General features: G+C 45.4%; 1 pseudogene, besides 1 other annotated feature; it reads right to left on the bottom strand.

Annotated features, from left to right (window-relative positions):
- Positions 3,329-3,859: an enhancer, noted in NCBI's record as "H3K4me1 hESC enhancer chr5:72025-72555 (GRCh37/hg19 assembly coordinates)". NCBI's record gives its function as "activates a minimal SCP1, AML or CMV promoter by ChIP-STARR-seq in naive H9 embryonic stem cells {active_cell/tissue: H9 hESC(naive)}" and the evidence as "EXISTENCE:reporter gene assay evidence [ECO:0000049][PMID:30033119]".
- SPICP4 (Spi-C transcription factor pseudogene 4) lies at positions 16,700-17,594 on the bottom strand (annotated as a pseudogene).

Genomic DNA, 17,861 nt, shown 5'->3' with positions numbered 1-17,861 from the left:
CGCCGCCGTCCACTGCCCAGAGAACACTTTGCCATGCCAGGGTTTCAGTCGTTTGCAAGCACTAGAGTTCTCCCTTGCCCAAAATGTGCTCCTTTTCTGGGGCCCTTTATCTCCGTGTGAGGTCTGGCCACCATCCACCCGGTGTTTTCACAGCAAACCCTGTGAGGTTTGTCTCTCTCCCGGGAGGGCGGAATGCAGGCTAAGAAGCCACAGAGAAGGCTCAGCATCAGGAAGATGCCTTCACCCTCTGCCGCCTCCCGCCTCGCCCTCTGCCGCCACTCAGCCGCCCCTCACCCCACGCTCTGCCGCCTCCCGCCTCGCCCTCTGCCGCCTCCCGCCTCGCCCTCTGCCGCCTCCCGCCTCGCCCTCTGCAGCCAGGGTTTTCTGCAGACTCCAGTGCACCTGAGGATGAGGTGGAAGAGGAGGAGGCCCTGTGCAGGTCTGAAGGAGGGGACAGATGGGCCCAGGACCCCCCAGTGCAGCAGGATGGTGTGACCACCACTGTCTACCAGTCCTGTCCCCAGATTTTGGGAAGATCAAATGAGGAAGCACTTGTGGAAGTTTTTACTACCAATATGGTGGTGCTAGTGTTGCCATGAAGGAAGAGGGCACGGGGGCGAGGGTAGAGGAAAAAGAACTCTTGTCTTGGGAACTGGAACACTGGGCAGGGCCATCCTCGGAAAACCTATGTGGTATTTTACAAATAGGTATTCTTACTATAAAAGGAGACAAATATGAGAGAGACTAAATCGTTAAAATGATGGGGAAGAAGATAAGAAAAGCAAAAAAGAAGGAAAAAAATGGGGCCAAAGGAAAAAGAAAGAAGAACAAACACCTGCCAGGAGACTTTCTGCAGTTTGAGGGCTGAGGCTGCAGCCGTGCAGTGGGACAGGTGGGATGGGAACTGGATCCGTTTCCCGACTCCCCAGGCCTGCCCTGCCCCCACAGACAGTGTGTGCACACACCCACAAACACAACACCTGTGCACACAAGCAAGACACAAACACGCGTGTACACACACACTCTGCCTTCTGCCTGGGGTGGCTTGGAACGTGGGGGGCAGACTCCACAAATCACCCTCCCGACCTCTGGATGCACATCCCGGGGCCCCTGCTTTGCATCTCTTCTCACCTTGTGTCCTGGAGGCGTCTTTTCTGCTCCCCGCAGTGGAAACATGGATTTTCCCTGATGACAGCCATAACGTTATCAAGGGCTCCCCCATGGAGGTCCTATGTTGAGCTCCTCTCCCGCATCGCCTCAGTTAACTCTCACAACAGCACTCAAGAGAACTGACTCTCAGCACCGCACGTTACACAGGTGAGGCCCAAGACGGAGCGGGTGGTGGAGCTGGGATCAGGTCAGGCCAAGCTGTTCCTGGGGCCTGTGCTCAGCCTCTCCCTGCAGCAGCTCTCCCCAGCCCAGCCTCCTCTCTTCACAGCTCCTCACCTTCCCACAGCTCCCCAGTTCCCCAGCAAAGACCCTGGCCTGGGAAAGCACTGAGGGAGATTGGGGCTGGAATGACCTAGAGACTTTGTCATCAATCCCTCTTCTGAGAGATGAGGACACTGAGGCCCCACTATGAGAATGCCTCACGGTCATCTGTCCGTGTGTGGAGGGAGCCCCGGTGTCCCCCACTCCACGTGTCACACTCCTTCTGAAATGCCGAGCTGCCTCAGGTCCAATCTCAGCAGCCCTTGGCACTACCCAGACACACTGGACCATAAAAGGACAAGCCTAAAGGGCCTCTGGCCCGGGGAAGACCCAGGGAAGGTAAGGAGTCCGTGACAAGCCATTTAGGAAGGGATGGGGAGGCTGGGGCCCTGACCCTGCAGGTCTCCTGGGGCAGGGCCAGGCAGGTTGATCTGTGGGTGAGGTGAGGCCTCACTCCGGGCTCTGGCCCTGAAAGCAGAGGATCGAGGGAGTTGAGACCCGGCCTGCTGTGTCCCAGGGCCTCCGGGGAGTGTATACTGAGTGGGACCCGGCCTGCTGTGTTCCAGGGCCTCCGGGGAGAGGACAGTGAGTGGGACCCGCCTCCTGTGTTCCAGGGCCTCCGGGGAGTGGATAGTGAGTGGGACCCGGCCTCCTGTGTTCCAGGGCCTCCGGGGAGTGGATAGTGAGTGGGACCCGGCCTCCTGTGTTCCAGGGCCTCTGGGGAGTGGACAGTGAGTGGGACCCGGCCTGCTGTGTTCCAGGGCCTCTGGGGAGTGGACAGTGAGTGGGACCCGGCCTCCTGTGTCCCAGGGCCTCCGGGGAGAGGACAGTGAGTGGGACCCGGCCTGCTGTGTTCCAGGGCCTCTGGGGAGTGGACAGTGAGTGGGACCCGGCCTCCTGTGTCCCAGGGCCTCCGGGGAGAGGACAGTGAGTGGGACCCGGCCTCCTGTGTTCCAGGGCCTCTGGGGAGTGGACAGTGAGTGGGACCCGGCCTGCTGTGTTCCAGGGCCTCCGGGGAGAGGACAGTGAGTGGGACCCGGCCTGCTGTGTCCCAGGGCCTCCGGGGAGTGGACAGTGAGTGGGACCCGGCCTGCTGTGTCCCAGGGCCTCTGGGGAGTGGACAGTGAGTGGGACCCGGCCTGCTGTGTCCCAGGGCCTCCGGGGAGAGGACAGTGAGTGGGACCCGGCCTGCTGTGTTCAAGGGCCTCCGGGGAGTGGACAGTGAGTGAGACCCGGCCTGCTGTGTTCCAGGGCCTCCGGGGAGTGGATAGTGAGTGGGACCCGGCCTCCTGTGTTCCAGGGCCTCTGGGGAGTGGACAGTGAGTGGGACCCGGCTTGCTGTGTCCCAGGGCCTCCGGGGAGAGGACAGTGAGTGGGACCCGGCCTGCTGTGTCCCAGGGCCTCCGGGGAGAGGACAGTGAGTGAGACCCGGCCTCCTGTGTTCCAGGGCCTCTGGGGAGTGGACAGTGAGTGGGACCCGGCCTCCTGTGTTCCAGGGCCTCCGGGGAGAGGACAGTGAGTGGGACCCGGCCTCCTGTGTTCCAGGGCCTCCGGGGAGTGGACAGTGAGTGGGACCCGGCCTGCTGTGTCCCAGGGCCTCCGGGGAGTGGACAGTGAGTGAGACCCGGCCGCTTATGTTTCAGGGCCTCCTGGGGAATGGGGGTTGGGACTCAACTTGATGGAGACATGGGATTCACACCAGCCCCTCATGCTGGAGCCGCACCACCAGACAGCAGCTGTGGGGTGGGACGAGACTCGAGAGCTGCACTGAGCAGCTTCATAGCCCGCGTCTCACCACCTTCCCTCTCTGCTGCACATGGCACTGAAGGAATCTGCTTAGTCTGGGGGAGAACTAGGCCATGCAGGCAGGCAGCGCAGCAGCCTCACGGCAGGTTTTCTGCAATGCCTGGTGGAGAGGCAAAGGTGGACTCCACTTGGACTTGCTGGGTGCACCCTATTTTCCCCAGCCTCGGAGCACAGAGACACTGGGTGTCCGGACACGGTCGGCTGCTGTAAAGACGGCTGCACTGCAATCAAAGGGGTGATTCGCCTCAGCAGCACATCACTGTGGCTCCCAGTTATAGCTTAAGTAGATGTGAAAATGTTTCTATTCGTTTTTTTCATGGTGCTTCATATTTACCAATTCAGAAAGTCCCTTGAAGGTGGGAACTTAATATTCTGGACAAGGAGTGGCTCCTATGTCCCAGGTCCATCTCTGTTCCCAAGCATCAGAGCCCCCCAAGTGAGTCTGACATAAGAGTAAGTCAGAAGCCGGGTGCATCTGGCCATCCCCACCCACTGCGGAAAAGATTAACGCAAATACAGTTTGCTAATGGCACCTGGTGTTGTCTAAAAATAATGCTGTGTCCTTCACCACGTTGAAATAGCCAGATGAAATTACTTGCCTCCAGCAAGTGTTTCTGTAAACCATCCTAAGAACAACATTCCCAGAGAATCAGGAACTCTGCCTCTTGCTATGACGTTCAGACCCTGGTGGTTCTTTATGGCACAAATTACACAAAAAATACAAAACATTTCACCTCTGCAATCTTGAGGCTCCTCCAGGCCCGAATACATAAGTGATGTTACCAGGACAGAGTGGGTTTTAAAAGCCTGTGCTGAGTATCTCAAAGCTGAGCCTGAATCCATCCCTGAGCTCACAACACTTGCTCCAAAAGGGACATGGTCATCACTGTCACACCACAGGACACAGGGCAGGAGAAGGGCCTGGAAAGGCCAATGTGACCGGGGGAAGGGCCTCCTGCCCTTGACTCAGAGGGGTCCAAAACAGCCACTAAAATCCACATAGGACCAGTCCTGTCTGGATAGAGAAGGGCCAGTTAGCTGTGGTTCCTCTGGTTGTGGGAAAAAATACCGACTTTCTGAGCAATCCTTATTTCAGAGGCCCAGAATTTCCAACATTTCCACTTCCCAGGCATATATGCCAAGCTCTCTTTTGCATCTGAAATAAACCAAACACAAGTAAAACCCTGTTTGGTCACAGAATATACAGGCAGAGGCATGCGTCAAATAAGAGGTGTCACTGAGTGGGCTCTGGAGAAATCACTCGAGAGGCTGGAACTCTGAAAGGAGCCAGGCCCTGGGAAGGAAAGAAAAAGCTGCCTATCTGAAGTCCTCGGAACACTCAATTCATATAATTGCTGGATGTTTCTACTACTTTTGTGACTTGGTTTTATGCCTTTTTACCTCTTTGCAACTGTGATCTTTGTCCTTTTGTTATTTTTTTAATTTAAAAAACGGTGTAAATGTATGAGGTGTAAAATGATGTTGTAATTTATGAATACAATGTGACATAATTAAATCAAGCTGGTTAACATATCCAGCACCTCAAATACTTAACATTTTTTGTGTTAAGCACACTTGAAATTTACTTTCTTAGCAATTTTTAAATGTGTAATACTCTGTTATTAACTAGATTCACCACACTATGCAATCTAAATCAAAAAAGAAAAACATATGTATTCTTTCTGAGATTTTGTACTTTGACAATCATCTTCCCATCCCCTAAACTGTTGTAACCATCAGTCTGCTCTTTGCCTCTATAAGTCCAATTGTTTCAGATTCCACATGTAAGTGAGAACATGTGGTATTTCTCTTTCCATTCCTGGCTCATTTCATTTGACATAATGTTCTCCAGTTACATCCGTGTCATCATAAATGTAAGAATTTTCTTCTTTTTTAAGGGAGAAAAGTCTTCAATGATGTATATGCACATTTTCATTATCCATTTCATCTGCTGCTATTTTTGATTCTATGACTTGGCTATTTTGAATAGTGCTTCAGTAAACACTGGAGTGCAGACATCTGTTTGACAAACTGATTTCACATCTTTTGGGTAAATAACCAGAAGTGGGACTGCTGGATCATAGGGTAATTCTGTTTTTAGGTTTTGTTGTTGTTGAGACGAGGTCTCTCTCTGTTGCCCAGGCTGGAGTGCAATGGCTTATTTTTAGCTTTTGAGGAACCTCCATACTATTTTCCATAATGGCTGTACTAAGTTATATTTCCACCAAATGTGTAAGAGTTCCCTTTTCTCCACATCCTTGCCAACACTTGTCTTTCATCTTCTTGATAAAAGGCATTCTGACAGGTGAGATATGATATCTCATTGTTGTCTGAATTTGCATTTTCTAATGACAGTCGTGTCAAGCATTTTCTTCTTATATATGTTGGCCATTTTTATGTCTTCTTTTGAGAAATGTCTTTATCCTTGGGATGCAAGGATGGTTCAACATATGCAAATCAGCAAATATGATATATTACACCAATAGAATGAAAAACAAAAATCATATGATTACCCCATCAGACACAGAAAAGGCATTTGATAAAGCTGAACATTCCCTCCTTTTAAAAACTCACCAAATTAAAAATAGAAAGAATGTACCTCAACACAATAAAGACCATTTATAAGAAGTCCAGAGCCAACATTATATTCAGTGTTGAAAAACTGAAAGCCTTTCCTCAAGGATCTGAAACAAGACAAGGATGCCCACTCTTGCTACATCCATGCAATATATTAATATAAATGGAAGTCCTTGCTGGGGTAATCAGGCATGGAAAAAACCAAAAGACATCCACATAAGAAAAGAGTGAGTGAAACTGCCATTGTTTACTGACAAAGTGATCCTATATGTGGAAAACTCAGACTCCACCTGTATTAGTCTGTTCTCATACTGCTAATAAAGACATACCCGAGACTGGGTAATTTGTAAAAGACAGTGGTTTAACTGACTTACAGTTCAGCATGGTTGGGGAGGCCTCAGGAAGCTTATAATCATGGTGGAAGGGGAAGCAAACGCGTCTTTCTTCACTTGGTGGCAGCAAGGAGAAGTGCAGAGCAAAAGGGGGAAAAGCCCCTTATAAAACCATCAGATCTCATGAGAACTGACTCATTATCATGAGAACAGCATAAGGGTAACTGCCCCCACAATTAAATTACCTCCCACTGGGTCCCTCCCAAGACACGTGGGGATTATGGGAACTACAATTCCAGATGAGATTTGGGTGGGGACACATTCCACCCCTGGCCCCTCTCAAATCTCATGTCCTCACATTTCAAAACACAATCATGCCCTTCCAACAGTCCTCCAAAGTCTTAGCTCATTCCAGCATTAACTCAAAAGTCCAAGTCCAAAGTCTCATCTGAGACAAGGCAAGTCCCTTCTGCCTGTGAGCCTGTAATATCAAAAGCAAGTTAGTTAGTTCCTAGATACAATGGGGGTACAGGCATTGGCTAAATACACCCATTCCAAATGGTAGAAATTGGCCAAAACCAAGGGGCTACAGGCCCCATGCAAGTCCAAAATCCAATAGGGCAGTCATTAAACCTTAAAGTTCCAAAATTATCTCCTTTGACTCCATTTCTCACATCCAGGGCATGCTGATGCAAGAGGTGGGCTCCCATGGCCTTGGGCAGCTCCACCCCTGTGTCTTTGCAGGGTACAGCCCCCCTTCTGGCTGTTTTCATGGGCTGGCATTGAATGTCTGCAGCTTTTCCAGGTGCATGGTGCAAGCTGTCAGGGATCTACCATTCTGGGGTCTGGAGGATGGTGACCCTCTTCTCACAGTTCCACCAAGCAGTGCCCCAGTGGGGACTCTGTATGGGGCTTCCAACCCCACATTTCTCTTCCACATGGCCCTAGCAAAGGTTCTCCATGAGGGCTCTGCCCCTGCAGCAAGCTTCTGCTTGGACACCCAGGTGTTTCCATACATCCTCTGAAATCTAGGCAGAGGTTCCCAAACTTCAATTCTTGGCTTGGGTCTTGCACCCTCTGAAGCTGTACCTTGGTCCCTTTTAGCCACGGCTGGAGTGACTGGGACACAAAGCACCAAGTCCCTAGGCTGCACATAGCAGGGGGGCCTTGGGCCCAGCCAGTGAAACCATTTTTCCCTCCTAGGCCTCCATGACTGTGATGGGAGGAGTTGCTGTGAAAGTCTCTGACATGCCTTAGAGACATTTTCCCCATTGTTTTGGTGATTAAATTTTGGCTCCTTGTTACTTATGCAAACGTCCGGAGCTGGCTTGAATTTCTCCCCAGAAAATGGGGTTTTCTTTTCTATCACATCTTCCGGTTGCAAATTTTCTAAACTTTTATATTCTGCTTCCTCTTGAATGCTTTGCAATTTAGAAATTTCTTCTGCCAGATACCCTAAATCATCTCTCTCAAGTTCCAAGTTTCACAGATCTCTAGGGCAGGGGAAAAATGCCACCAGCCTCTTTGCATAGCAAGAGTGACCTTTACTGCAGTTCCCAAAAAGCTCCTCATCTCCATCTAAGACCACCTCAGCCTGGACTTCATTGTCCATATCGCTGTCAGCATTTTGGTCAAAGCCATTCAACAAGTCTCTAGGAAGTTCCTAACTTGCCCACACTTTCCTGTCCTCTTCTGAGTTCTCCAAACAGTTCCAATCTCTGCCTGTTACCCAGTTCCAAAGTTGCTTCCACATTTTTGGGTATCTTTACAGCAGTGCCCCACTCTCTGTGGTACCAACTTACTGTATTAGTCCATTCTCACCCTGCTAATAAAGATATACCTGAGACTGGGTAATTTATAAAGGAAAGAGATTTAATTGACTCACAGTTCAGCATGGCTGGGGAGGCCTCAGGAAGCTTACAATCAGTTGGAAGGGGAAGTAAACACATCCTTCTTGACATGGCAGCAGCAAGGAGAAGTGCAGAGCAAAAGGGGGAAAAGCTCCTTATAAAACCATCAGATCTCAAGGCCGAGTGTGCTGGCTCATGCCTGTAATCACAGCACTTTGGGAGGCCAAGGCAATATAATCCCAGCTACTGGGGAGGCTGAGGCAGGAGAATCGCTTGAACCCATGAGGCGGAGGTTGCAGTGAGCCGAGACTGCACCACTGCACTCCAGCCTGGGTGACAGAGCAAGACTCTGTCTCAAAAACAAACAAACAAACAAACAAACATCAGATCTCATGAGAACTTACTATCTCGAGAACAGCATGAGGGTAATCACCCCCATGATTAAATTACCTCCCAGCAGGTCCCTCCCAAGACACATGAGGATTATGGGAACTATAATTCAAGATGAGATTTGGGTGGGGACATAGCCACACTATATCATCACAAAAACACTCTCAGAACTTATAAACAAGTACAGTAAAGCTGAAGGACTCAAAATCAACACACAAAAATCAGTAGTCTCTCTATATACTGACAATGAACTATCTGAAAAAGAAATCAAGAGAACAATCCCACTCATAATAGCTTTAACAAATTACCTAGGAATAAATTTAACCCAGGATGTGAAAGACCTGCCAATGAAAACTATAAAACATTGGGGAAATAAATTGAAGATGACACAAATAAATAGAAAGATATCCCATATTCATGGATTGGATAATTAATATGGTTAAGAAGTCCATAGTACCCAAAGCAACCAACAGTTTCAATGTAATCCTTAACAAGATCCCAATGTCTGTTTCATAGAAATAAAAAATAGTAATCAAAAAATTCATATAGAACCTCATAAAACCATGAATAGCCAGGACAACCAAGAGCAATAAGAACAAAGCTGTTAAGTATCACACCACCTGACCTCAAAGTACACTCCAAAGCCATAGTAATTAAAATAGCATAAAATTGACCAAAAAAAAAAAGAAGAAAAAACAGACACGTTAACCAGTGGAACTGAACAGAGAGCCTAGAAATGAACTCATGCATGTACAGTTAACTGATTTCAACAACGGTGCCAAGAAGACAAGGACAGTCTCTTCAATAAATGATGCTGGGAAAACATGCAGAAGAATGAAAGTGGACCCCTATCTCACACTGTATTCAAAAATCAACTTAAAATGGACCAAAGACTGTAACATAACACTAGAAACTCTAAAACGGGTGTCCACTTGTTTGGCTTCTCTGAGCCACATTGGAAGAAGAATTGTCTTGGGCCACACATAAAATATACTAACAGGCTGAGCACAGTGGCTCATGCCTGTAATCCCAGCATTTTGGGAGGCCAAGGCAGGCAGATCATGAGGTCAGGAGTTCAAGACCAGTCTGGCCAACATAATGAAACCCCTTCTCGAGGCAGAGATCCAAGACGACCGAATAGGAACAGCTCCAGTCCATGGCTCCCAGCATGAACAACGCAGAAGATGGATGATTTCTGCATTTCCAACTGAGGTACTGGGTTCATCTCACTGGGACTTGTTGGACAGTGGGTGCAGCCATGGAGTGTGAGCCGAAGCAGGGTGGGGCATTGTCTCACCTGAGAAGTGCAAGGGGTCGGGGAATTCCCTTTCCTAGCCAAGGGAAGCCATGACAGATGGTACCTGGAAAATCGGGACACTCCCACCCTAATACTGTGCTTTTCCAATGGTCTTAGCAAATGGCACACCAGGAGATTATATCCCGCCCCTGGCCGGGAGGGTCCCACGCCCACGGAGCCTTGCTCACTGCTAGCACAGCAGTCTGAGATCAAACTGCAAGGCAGCAGCGAGGCTGGGGGAGGGGCACCTGCCATTGCTGAGGCTTGAGTAGGTAAACAAAGTGGCTGGGAAGCTCGAACTGGGTGGAGCTCACCACAGCTCAAGGAGGCCTGCCTGCCTCTGTAGACTCCACCTCTGGGGGCAGGGCATAGCCGAACAAAAGGCAGCAGAAACTTCTGCAGACTTAAATGTCCCTGTCTGACAGCTTTGAAGAGAGGAGTGGTTCTCCCAGCATGGAGTTTGAGATCTGAGAACGGACAGAACTGCCTCCTCAAGTGGGTCCCTCACCCCTGAGTAGCCTAACTGGGAGACATCTCCTAGTAGGGGCCGACTGACACCTCATACAGCCAGGTGCCCCTCTGAGACGAAGCTTCCAGAGGAAGGATCAGGCAGCAACATTTTCTGTTCTGCAATATTTGCTGTTCTGCAGCCTCTGCTGGTGACACAAACAGGGTCTGCAGTGGACCTCCAGCAAACTCCAACAGACCTGCAGCTGAGGGTTCTGACTGTTACAAGGAAAACTAACAATTAGAAAGGAATAGCATCCACATCAACAAAAAGGACATCCACACCAAAGCCTCATCTGTAGGTCACCATCATCAAAGACCAAAGGTAGATAAAACCACAAAGATGGGGAGAAACCAGAGCAGAAAAGCTGAAAATTCTAAAATCAGAGCACCTCTTCTCCTCCAAAGGAACGCAGCTCCTCACCAGCAATAGAACAAAGGTGGACAGAGAATGACTTTGACGAGTTGACAGAAGTAGGCTTCAGAAGATCAGTAATAACAAACTTCTCCAAGCTAAAGGAGGATGTTCGAACCTATCACAAAGAATCTAAAAACCTTGAAAAAAGATTAGACGAATGGCTAATTAGAATAAACAGTGTAGAGAAGACCTTAAATGACCTGATGGAGCTGAAAGCCATGGCACAAGAACTATGTGACGCGTGCACAAGCTTCAGTAGCCAATTCGATCAAGTGGAAGAAAGGGTATCAGTGATTGAAGATCAAATGAATGAAATGACGCAAGAAGAGAAGTTTAGAGAAAAAAAGAGTAAAAAGAAATGAACAAAGTCTCCAAGAAATATGGGACTATGTGAAAAGACCAAATTTACATCTGATTGGTGTACCTGAAAGTGATGGGGAGAATGGAACCAAGTTGGAAAATACTTTTCAGGATATTATCCAGGAGAACTTCCCCAACCTGGCAAGGCAGGCCAACATTCAAATTCAGGAAATACAGAGAACGCCACAAAGATACTCCTCGAGAAGAGCAACCCCAAGACACATAAGTCAGATTTACCAAGGTTGAAATGAAGGAAAAAACGTTAAGGGCAGCCAGAGAGAAAGGTCGGGTTACCCACAAAGGGAAGCCCATCAGACTAACAGCTGATCTCTCAGCAGAAACTCTACAAGCCAGAAGAGAGTAGGGGCCAATATTCAACATTCTTAAAGGAAAGAATTTTCAACCCAGAATTTCATATCCAGCCAAACTAAGCTTCATAAGTGAAGGAGAAATACAATCCTTTACAGACAAGCAAATGCTGAGAGATTTTGTCACCACCAGGCCTGCCTTACAAGAGCTCCTGAAGGAAGCACTAAACATGGAAAAGAACAACCAGTACCAGCCACTGCAAAAACATGCCAAATTGTAAAGACCATCAATGCTAGGAAGAAACTGCATCAAGCAACTGCTTCAACTAATGAGCAAAATAACCAGCTAACATCATAATGACAGGATCAAATTCACACATAACAATATTAACCTTACATGTAAATGGGCTAAATGCCCCAATTAAAAGACACAGACTGGCAAATTGGATAAAGAGTCAAGACCCATCAGTGTGTTGTATTCAGGAGACCCATCTCATGTGCAGAGGCACACATAGGCTCAAAATAAAGGGATGGAGAAAGATCTACCAAGCAAATGGAAAACAAAAACAAGCAGGGGTTGCAATCCTAATCTCTGATAAAACAGACTTTAAACCAACAAAGATCAAAAGAGACAAAGAAGGCCATTACATAATGGTAAAGGGATCAATTCAACAAGAAGAGCTAACTCTCCTAAATATATATGCACCCAATACAGGAGCACCCAGATTCATAAAGAAAGTCCTTAGACACCTAAAAAGAAACTTAGACTCCCACACAATAATAATGGGAGACTTTAACACCCCACTGTCAACATTAGACAGATCAATGAGACAGAAAGTTAACAAGGATATCCAGGACTAGAACTCAGCTCTGCACCAAGTGGACCTAATAGACATCTACAGAACTCTCCATCCCAAATCAACAGAATATACATTCTCCTCAGCACCACATCGCATTTATTCCAAAATTGACCACATAGTTGCAAGTAAAGCACTCCTCAGCAATGTAAAAGAACAGAAATTATAACAAACTGTCTCTCAGACCACAGTGCAATCAAATTAGAACTCAGGATTAAGAAACTCACTCAAAACCGCACAACTATATGGAAACTGAACAACCTGCTCCTGAATGACTACTGGGTAAATAACAAAATGAAGGCAGAAATAAAGGTGTTCTTTGAGACCAATGAGAACAAAGACACATACCTAGAGATTTAGGACACATTTAAAGCAGTGTGTAGAGGGAAATTTATAGCACTACATGCCCACAAGAGAAACCAGGAAAGATCTAAAATCGACACCCTAACATCACAATTAAAAGAACTAGAGAAGCAAGAGCAAACACAGTCAAAAGCTAGTAGGAGGCAAGAAATAACTAAGATCAGAGCAGAACTGAAGGAGATAGAGACACAAAAACCCTTCAAAAAATAAATGAATCCAGAAGCTGGTTTTGTGAAAACATTAACAAACTTGGTAGACTGCTAGCAAGACTAATAAACAAAAGAGAGAAGAATCAAATAGAAGCAATAAAAATGATAAAGGGGATATCATCATCAATCCCACAGAAATATAAACTACCATCAGAGAATGCTATAAACACCTCTATGCAAATAAACTAGAAAATCTAGAAGAAATGGATAAATTCCTGGACACATACACTCTCCTAAGACTAAACCAGGAAGAAGTTGAATCCCTCAATAGACCAATAACAGGCTCTGAAATTGAGGCAATAATTAATAGCCTACCAACAAAAAAAAGTCCAGGACCAGACAGATTCACAGCTGAATTCTACCAGAGGTATAAAGAAGAGCTAGTATCATTCCTTCTGAAACTATTCCAATCAACAGAAAAAGAGGGAATCTTTCATAACTCATTTTATGAGGCCAGCATCATCCTGATACCAAAGCCTGGCAGAGACACAACAAAAAAAAAGAATTTTAGACCAATATCCCTGATGAACATCGAAGTAAAAATCCTCAATAAAATACTGGCAAACCGAATCCAGCAGCATATCAAAAAGCTTATCCACCACGATCAAGCTGGCTTCATCCCTGGGATGCAAGGCTGATTCAACATACACAAATCAATAAATGTAATCCATCATATAAACAGAACCAAAGACAAAAACCACATGATTATCTCAATAGATGCAGAAAAGGCCTTAGACAAAATTCAATAGCTCTTCGTGCTAAAAACTCTCAATAAACTAGGTATTGATGGGATGTATCTCAAAATAATAAGAGCAATTCATGACAAACCCACAGCTAATATCATAATGAATGGGCAAAAACTGGAAGCATTCCCTTTAAAAACTGGCACAAGACAGGGATGCCCTCTCTCACCACTCCTATTCAACATAGTATTGGAAGTTCTGGCCAGGGCAATCAGGCAGGAGAAAGAAATAAAGGGTATTCAATTAGGAAAAGAGGAAGTCAAACTGTCCCTGTTTGCAGATGACATGATTGTATATTTAGAAAACCCCATCGTCTCAGCCCAAAATCTCCTTAAGCTGATAAGCAACTTCAGCAAAGTCTCAGGATACAAAATCAATGTGCAAAAATCACAAGCATTCTTATACACCAATAACAGACAGAGAGCCAAATCATGAGTGAACTCCCATTCACAACTGCTTCAAAGAGAATAAAATACCTAGGAATCCAACTTACAAGGGATGTGAAGGACCTCTTCAAGGAGAACTACAAACCACTGCTCAATGAAATAAAAGAGGATACAAACAAATGGAAGAACATTCCATGCTCATGGATAGGAAGAATCAATATCATGAAAATGGCCATACTGCCGAAGGTAATTTATAGATTCAATGCCATCCCCATCAAGCTACCAATGACTTTCTTCACAGAATTGGAAAAAACTACTTTAAAGTTCATATGGAACCAAAGAAGAGCCCACATTGCCAAGACAATCCTAAGCAAAAAGAACAAAGCTGGAGGCATCACACTACCTGACTTCAAACTATACTACAAGGCTACAGTAACCAAAACAGCATGGTACTGGTACCAACACAGAGATATAGACGAATGGAACAGATCAGAGCCCTCAGAAATAATACCACACATCTACAACCATCTGATCTTTGACAAACCTGACAACAACAAACAATGGGGAAAGGATTCCCTATTTAATAAACGGTGCTGGGAAAACTGGCCAGCCATATGTAGAAAGCTGAAACTGGATCCCTTCCTTACACCTTATACAAAAATTAACTCAAGATGGATTAAAGTCTTAAATGTTAGATCTAAAACCATAAAAACCCTAGAAGAAAACCTGGGCAATACCATTCAGGACATATGCATGGGCAAGGACTTCATAACTAAAACACCAAAAGCAATGGCAACAAAAGCCAAAATTGACAAATGGGATCTAATTAAACTAAAGAGCTTCTGCACAGCAAAAGAAACTATCATCAGAGTGAACAGGCAACCTACAGGATGGGAGAAAATTTTTGCAATCTACCCATCTTACAAAGGGCTAATATCAAGAATCTACAAAGAACTTAAATTTATAAGAAAAAGTCAAACAACCCCATCAAAAAGTGGGTGAAAGATATGAACAGACACTTCTCAAAAGAAGACATTTATGCAGCCAACAGACACATGAAAAGATGCTCATCATCACTGGCCATCAGAGAAATGCAAATCAAAACCACAATGAGATACCATCTCACACCAGTTAGAATGGCGATCATTAAAAAGTCAGGAAACAACAGGTGCTGGAGAGGATGTGGAGAAATAGGAATGCTTTTACACTGTTGGTGGGAGTGTAATCTAGTTTAACCATTGTGGAAGACAGTGTGGCAGTTCCTCAAGGATTTGGAACTAGAAATACCGTTTGACCCAGCCATCCCATTACTGGGTATATACCCAAAGGATTATAAATCATGCTACTATAAAAGACACATGCACATGTATGTTTACTGTGGCACTATTCACAATAGCAAAGACTTGGAATCAACCCAAATGTCCATCAATGATAGACTGGATTAAGAAAATGTGGCACATACACACCATGGAGTACTATGCAGCCATAAAAAAGGATGAGTTCATGTCCTTTGCAGGGACATGGATGAAGCTGGAAACCATCATTCTCAGCAAACTATCAGAAGGACACAAAACCAACCACATGTTCTCACTCATAGGTGGGAGTTGAACAATGAGAACACTTGGGCACACAGCAGGGAACATCACACACTGGGGCCTGTAGCTGGGGGAAGGATGGTATTAAGAGAAATACCTAATGTAAATGATGAGTTAATGGGTGCAGCAAACCAACATGGCACATGCATACATATGTAACAAACGTGCACATTGTGCAGATGTACCCTAGAATTTAAAGTATATTAAAAAAAAGCCCCTTCTCTACTAAAAATACAAAAATTAGCCATGTGTGGTGGCACGGGCCTGTAATCCCAGCTACTTGGGAGGCTGAGACAGGAGAATCGCTGGAACCGGGAGGCAGAGGTTGCAGTGAGCCAAGATCACACCACTGCACTCCAGCCTGGGCAACAGACCAAGGATCTGTCTCAAAAAAAAAAAAAAATACACACACACACACACACACACACACACACACACACACACACACTAATAGCTGATAAGCTAAAAAAAAATCACCAAAAAAATCTCATAATGTTTAAGAAAGTTTACATATTTGTGTTGAGCCACATTCAAAGCTGTCCTGGGCTGCATGCAGCCCACAGACCACAGGTTGGATAAACTTGCTCTAAAACTACCAGAAGAAAACAGAGAGTAAAAATTACACGACATTGGTGTTTGCAATTTTCTTTTGGACTTAACACCAAAAGTGCAAGCAACAAAAGTAAAACTAAACAAATAGGATTACATCAAACCAAAAAACTTCTACCCAGCAAAGGAAACAATCAACAGTGTGCAGAGATGACCTAAATACTGGGAAAAGCACCGGCCATACATCCACAAGGGGTCAATATCCAACATCTATAAGGGGTCAATATCCATCATCTATAAGCAGCTCAAACTTAGCAAGAAAACAGAAACCAATTTAACAATGGGCTAGGGATCTGAATAGACATTTCCACTGAAGTTTTTAAAGCCATGAATACATTTTGGCACAAACACTGTATCATATGCAATTATTTTCTGTAAATGATTTCTTGTGAAGCCATCAATACATGTTAGAGTGATTTTTCATCTATGAGAGGAAAATGTTTAAATCAATATATAAAGTATCCATATATATTGCATATTTAAATATCTATTTATATATCTATGTATTTAAATCAATGTATTCAGTATCTGTATTGGCACTTTAGTGCAGAAGAAAGTGACTGCATAGAGAACAGTTAAGAGCAAGGCCATTGAGCCTATATTCTCAAATGGGGCTTCATCACTCAAAACAATAAAGTTGTTCATTGGCAGAATTTCTAATCAAGTTAGTATAGATTTTATGCCATTGGATACAAGATAGCAACAATGAAATTAATTGGTTTCTTATCTTCAGTATTTGCTTTAAGGGAAAAAATCTCAGGCTCATAGGGATTTCTGATACCAGGAAACCATGAAATGTGAGACTATATTTTGGAATCAGGGTGGCTTAGCTTCTGGTAATTGGCATTTGTATAGTTATAATCTGCATCACAGTTATAGAAACCAATATATTCTTAATCAGGTTGATCATATTGTAAGTAGAAGAACTCTTTCCCCAAGAAATAAGATGGAGAGAGTTTTTGGAGAATGGCCTCACTGAAATGGTACTGGGTTTCGGTGATTTCCCCAGTTCTTCCACAGCTCCTCAGTGCCCTGGCCATTTCTGGAAAGTCATGGTACTCTGGTTGCTTTTTCTCTTCCCCCAAAGTTCAGAAGTTTCCTGGTTTTTTGTTACAAACTGAAAGGTGTCTTTGGTTTTATCTTCCCAGTGAATACAAGATGCCATCTCAGTACACAGGGATTTGTGAAGGTATTCAATAGCCAGAGCCTCTTCCTGCCTTTTCTTCCTCTTGCTGGAGAAGAGCAGGTTGTACCAGCTGGTTTTCAGTTATGCTCTGCAGAGGTTGATGAATATTTCCTTCAAAATAGAAGTCCACAGTCCTGCTATTACAGTTCTCCAATTGTAGACAGGTTCCTCCGTAGGCAACACTCATAGCAGCTGGAATTTCCTCTGATATGAAGACAACAGTTAATGAAAGACAGGTAATTTTTGTCATCAGGGGAGTTCTGAGGATCTAAAGTTGGATGTTGCCTCAGTACCTCAAAAGCGTCTTCAAATGCTTGACCCAGCTTATCTTGTTCAATCCAAGTCATGCTTCATGAATAAACTGATGATTAGTACAATTAGTTGTGGAGGCTGAGAAGTCCAACGTTGAGAGACCAAATCTGGTGAGGGCCTTCTTCTTGGTGGAGACTCCCTGCAAAGTCCTGAGGCTGTGCAGGACATCAAACAACCAGGGGGCTGAGTGTGCTCTGTTCTTTACTGTAAAGATATTTTTATATACCGACAAGGGAACTGGGGCAGGTAGGGATGAGGGCATTTCAGGGACCACTTGTAGAAGGTGGAGCTGCCTTCTCTCCAAGGGACTCTCAGACATGGACAG

This window comes from Homo sapiens, chromosome 5 (assembly GCF_000001405.40).
Source record: "Homo sapiens chromosome 5, GRCh38.p14 Primary Assembly".
NCBI lineage: Eukaryota > Metazoa > Chordata > Mammalia > Primates > Hominidae > Homo > Homo sapiens.
Note: the sequence above shows the minus strand (reverse complement) of the source record. Positions and strands in the feature narration are given on the sequence as shown.